The following is a 6000-nucleotide window of genomic DNA, read 5'->3' as shown; positions in this document are numbered from 1 at the left end:
CTAACCCTAACCCTAACCCTCTAACCCTAACCCTAACCCTAACCCTAACCCTAACCCTAACCCTAACCCTAACCCTAACCCTAACCCTAACCCTAACCCTAACCCTAACCCTCTAACCCTAACCCTAACCCTAACCCTAACCCTAACCCTAACCCTAACCCTAACCCTAACCCTAACCCTAACCCTAACCCTAACCCTAACCCTAACCCTAACCCTAACCCTAACCCTAACCCTAACCCTAACCCTAACCCTAACCCTAACCCTAACCCTAACCCTAACCCTAACCCTAACCCTAACCCTAACCCTAACCCTAACCCTAACCCTAACCCTAACCCTAACCCTAACCCTAACCCTAACCCTAACCCCTAACCCTAACCCTAACCCTAACCCTAACAAGGAGAACGCAACTCCATCCTCGCAAAGGCGGCGCGCCCGCGCAGGCGCACAGAGGCGCGGCGCGCCCGCGCAGGCGCACAGAGGCGCGGCGCGCCCGCGCAGGCGCACAGAGGCGCGGCGCGCCCGCGCAGGCGCACAGAGGCGCGGCGCGCCCGCGCAGGCGCACAGAGGCGCGGCGCGCCCGCGCAGGCGCACAGAGGCGCGGCGCGGTTGGGGAGACGCGGTGTAGGTCATTGACGCACGCCGGCGCGTCCCCAGAGGGGAGGTGTGGCTGGGCGAGCGGGATTGAGGCGGGCGCAGGCGCACCGACGCACGTCGCTGGGCTGATGGTGGCGGGGCGTGTTGCACGCGAACAGTCTGACGCCGCCGGGCGGGGACCGCGGGGGTGGCGCGGTACAGCGCAGAGACACACGTCGCCGGCGGCGCGGCGCAGAGACAGGTGGAACCTGAGTAATCTGAAAAGCCCGTTTCGGGCGCTCCCTGCTTGCAGCCGGGCACTACAGGACCCACTTGCCCACGGTGCTGTGCCAGTGCGCCCCCTGCTGGCGACTACGGCAACTGCAGTGCCCTGTTGCTGACAGTGGTGTCCAGTGGTGTCAATATATGTAAAGAAAACTAGTAGAAATAATAGAATAACTAGAAACAACTCTACGCAAAGCATGCAAGAAAAGTAGGGCATGTTTTGCAAGTAAAGTAGGATGTATTTTTTATAAGGAAAACCATACATAAGATACAAATAAAAAGAGATACCTAACCATCCCTGTGTTATATTTGTATGGGTACAATGTTGTTTTCAGAAATTATATAAAATTCCTGGAAATTTGTCAATGTCCTCCTTATCCATGCTCTGTGCCAGTATAGAGTAATGAGTCATAATTCCAATTATTATTTTAAATGTTGTGCCAGGCGCAGTGGCTCACGCCTGTAATCCCAGCACTTTGGAAGGCTGAGGCAGGTGGATCACAAGGTCAGGACATCCAGACCATCCTGGCTAACCTGGTGAATCCCCGTCTGTACTAAAAATACAAAAAATTAGCCAGGCGTGGTGGCAGGCGCCTGTAGCCCCAGGTACTCGGGAAGCTGAGGCAGGAGAATGGCGTGAACCCGGGAGATGGAGCTTGCAGTGAGCCGAGATCGCGCCACTGCACCCAAGCCTGGGCGACAGAGTGAGACTCTGTCTCTAAATAAATAAATAAATGTTGTATGCCACAGAAAAAATCGAATATCCTTCTCAGCTGTGGTATAATGAACTCTCATCAGATCTTTCATCACAGCCATTTCATACTCTTTGTCATTTAGATATTATTTCCCCCGATGCTTTCCTGAAAGCTCCGGCAATCAGCTACAAGTCAGACTGTTCGTCTCCAACACAGAACTCCCTCTGAGACTCACGGAAAAGACTATGACACGTACTCGTTATAGGCTTCTGATGATATTGCTTAAATAACTTTAAGACCATACACTTGACTCAGTGAAGGTCTCCAGAACTCTGGTTGAGAAACTGATGGGTTCATGACACTGCTAACCCAAGATCCAAAAAGACTGGAATTGATTACATGGCACTGAATGAACTGATGAAAATTGATTGTAATTTTATAGCTTTTTGGAGCATTGCTGGTTCTTTAATGTTCTAGTTTCTGGATTTAAGAAATCTCTCTCTCTTAATCTTACTGTAACTTACAACAAGTTAGTAGATTATATTTTTGTAAACAGAAATGAAGCATTTATCTTTTTTCCCTGCCTGATTTTTCCAGAATTTTGAAATCCTTACTGAATACTCTTATTTTCACGATGATATAGTTGTTAGCAAAAGTCCAATAAGAATTTATTCACCTTATAACAGGACATAATTGGAAATTTTGGTTATATTATCAAGGTTTGTACTGGAATATCATATTTAGGAAGTGTACCTAAGATCAGTTATGACTAGCAATTTTAAGGAAGTAAGGTTGACTTTTATGGAGACAATGCTTACAAAGTGCTGTGAGAAATGGGAAAGTTCTTCCTCAAACATTATGAAGTCACAACTATCCACTATTTTTTTGTGTGTGTGTGTGTGTGTGTGTGTGTGTGTGTGTGTGTATTCCAAATCACTTGTCCTAGCTTGCTCCAGCATGCCTGGACAGAACTAGACAAGCCCCAGCCCATAGTACATGCCATTCCTTATTTGGAGATGCTTCCTTAACTATCCCTGGGCAACTTCCTTTTCTTTCTTTCTTCTATTCCCCTTACCTAATTAAGAAAGTTTTAAACTCTAAGCCAACTGGGTAAAGTGTAAAATGTGAGGTCCTATTCCAGCCAATGGAACCTGGACACAGCACTAGGGTAGACACATCAGGTTATGAGTAACTCTGTCTCCTTTGTTTGGTGTGCTCTTGTGGCTGGACAGCTATTGAGTAGCACCCTTTCTGCAGAAAGTAAAGCTCGCCTTGCTAAGAGATCATTCGTTCCCATATTAATTCTTTTTTTTTTGGAATACCAAAAACTTCATTCCCAACAGCACTCTGAGAAAAGCCAGCCTGATACCTAGATTACAGGGTTCACAGACTTACAGCTTAGTAAAGAAGGTCATTTCCTAGTAGGCCCAGGAATTTAGGGATATTTGGGGGGCCTCAAGAAGAGAGGAATTCACACAAAGCTATAAAGACTGCAGCTGAAATCTGATAGTATGTTCTTAGCTTGGCTTTTAGCCTGAATAAGGCCTTTAAAAGTCAAGTCTGAGATTCTGTATGAAAACTTCCAGCAAAGAAACTTGAAAGCACCCACGTGGTCATCTCCTGTTCTTGCTGCACTTACATAAATAATCAAGCAAAATCTAACAAAACTAGACTTATTTTTAAAACAAGAATAGTCTTACTTTGATTATGATCAAAAATAATGGTTACTACAGAGATAAATTTTACATTTCAATGGAAAACTATAACATGGCCGGGCATGGTGGCACACACCTATAATTCCAGCACTTTGGGAGGCCAGCAGTTCAAGACCAGCCGGGACAACATAGTGAAACCCCGTCTCTACCAAAAATACAAAAATTAGATGGGCATGATGGCATGTGCCTGTAGTCCTAGCTAATCAGGAGGCTGAGGAGGGAGGATCGCTTGCACCCAGGAGGTAGAGGTTGCAGGGAGTTGAGATTGCACCTTTGCACTCCAGCCTGGGGGACAGAGCCAGACCCTGTATCAAAAAAAATTTTTTTAAAGGAAAACTATAGCCATTGTGGGTTATCAGATTCCAGTCTTGTTTCTTGTTTCTGGGCTAATTTTACCTCTTTGTAAACTGGATCCTGCCATCTGCTGAATTTTGTCCCACAATCATACTTGTGGAAGAAGAAGCCATGTATTGTCTCTTCTACTAATTTATTTATAGTCGGTTAATTTGAAGGTCTCCAACCCTGGAACAAAGTTAGAAGAGGAAGGTTTTGCTCCCCAAAATGTATAACCAAATTGTGGTACATTCATGCTATTTAGTCATAGAAAGGAACAAGCTATCAACTCACACAAAGACATGAATGAATCTTGCATGCACATTGCTAAGTGGAAGAAAACAGTCTGAGGAGAATACACACAGTGTAATCTCATTTAATGAGACACTGGAGAAGGCAAACTACACGGATGGGAAGCCATTGGCTCCATGGGGTGGGGGTTTGAAGCATTCTATATGATACTTTAATAGTGGGATACCTGCTACAATGCATTTGTCAAAATATGCAGAATTTTACAGCCAAATGGTTAATCAAACTCTATTCAAACTAAATAAAATAACTCAGGATATGGACTATCCCAGGATAGAATACGTCATGTGAAAAAGAATTTACGCTATAAATTACTATGGTTTAGAACTGAATTATGACATAGATTCTTTTGCTCACGTTTTATTGCTGACCTTCTCCTTATTAACACCCTGCTCTCCTTCCCCATTCCTCCTGCTGAGATAATGAAACCATGACCCTAATCCTAACCCTAAGCCTAACCCTCACCCCTACCCCTAAACTTACCCCTACCCCCAACCGTAACCCTACCCCTAACCATAACCCTACCCCTAACCCTAACCCTACCCCAAACCCTACCCCACCACTACTCCTAACCCTAACCCTAACCATACCCCTAACCCTCCCTTACCCCTAACACTACCCCACCCCTACCCCTAAACCTACCCCTACCCCTCCGCTAAACCCACACCACACCCACACACACCCCCCCCACCCACCCACCCCACACCACACCCACACCCCACCCACACACCACACCCACACCACACCCACACCACACCCACACCCACACCCACACCCACACCACACCCACACACCACACCCACACCCACACACCCACACCCACACACCACACCCACACACACCACACCCACACACTACCCCTACCCCTACCCCTCACCCTCACCCTCACCCTCACCCTCACCCTAACCCCCTAACCCCCTAACCCCCTAACCCCCTAACCCTAACCCTAACCCTAACCCTAACCCTCTAACACCCTAACCCTCACCCTCACCCTCACCCTCACCCTCACCCTCACCCTCACCCTAACCCTAACCCTCACCCTCACCCTCACCCTCACCCTCACCCTCACCCTCACCTAACCCTAATCTAATCTTTGCCGAGGCAAGAGACCGAGGACATGAGCTGTTCCACTCCAATAAAATATAAAACAAGAATAGTTATACCAGATATAGATCTTAGACATGATTATATATGAATATCATTAATCATTAGTTGATAGCAATTACTCTTTATTCCAATATTATAATAATCCTCCCTCTATAATCATAACCTAGGAAAAGCCAGGCCATTCAGAGATAGGGGCTGAGGGGACATAGTGAGAAGTGAACAGAAGTCAAGAGTGCGAGCCTTCTGTCATGCCCGGACAGGGCCACCAGAGGGCTCCTTGGTCTAGCGGTGACATCAGCCTCTGGGAAGACGCCCATTGCCAAGCGGACCGTGGTCTAGTGGTAGGCTCAGTGTCAAGGAAAAATACCCGCTACTTAGTAGACTGGGAAAGGGAGTCTCCCTTTCCCCAGAGGAGTTTAGAGAAGACTCTACTCCTCCACCTCTTGTGGATGTCAGGCCCACCCGCAGTTATCCAGAGGCCTGTCTCCCTGTGATGCTGTACTTCAGTGGTCATGCTCCTAGTCCGCCTTCATGTTCTGTCTTGTACACCTGGCTCTGCCATTTAGTTAGCAGTAGCAAATTAGTGAAAGTACTAAAAGTCTCTGATAAGCAGAAATAATAATGTAAACTTTTTCTCTCCTTCTCTCTCTCTCTGCCTCGGCTGCCAGGCAGGGAAGGGACCCCTGTCCAGTGGACACGTGACCCACGTGGCCTTACCTATCATTGGAAATGGCTCACACTCCTTATCCCGCCCCTTTGTCTTGTATCCAATAAATATCAGCAAAGCCTAGCATTCAGTCTCTGCATCTCTGTGTCTTGGTGGTAGTGGTCCCCCGGGCCCAGCTGTCTTTTCTTTCATCTCTTTGTCTTGTATCTTTATTTCTACACTCTCTCATCTCTGCACACAGGGAGAAACCCACCGACCCTGTGGGGCTGGACCCTACAATTAATATTTTCCCAAACCCAGTTGGGAATCCAAACTC

At 47.0% G+C, this 6000-nt stretch overlaps 1 annotated feature.

The window, feature by feature from the left end:
• Positions 5164 to 5213: an enhancer, noted in NCBI's record as "active region_13551". NCBI's record gives its function as "activates an Ori minimal core promoter by ATAC-STARR-seq in GM12878 lymphoblastoid cells {active_cell/tissue: GM12878}" and the evidence as "EXISTENCE:reporter gene assay evidence [ECO:0000049][PMID:35858748]".

The sequence above is a fragment of the Homo sapiens genome, chromosome 18 (assembly GCF_000001405.40).
Source record: "Homo sapiens chromosome 18, GRCh38.p14 Primary Assembly".
NCBI classification, from domain to species: domain Eukaryota; kingdom Metazoa; phylum Chordata; class Mammalia; order Primates; family Hominidae; genus Homo; species Homo sapiens.
This window is presented reverse-complemented; position numbering and strand designations above follow the sequence as displayed.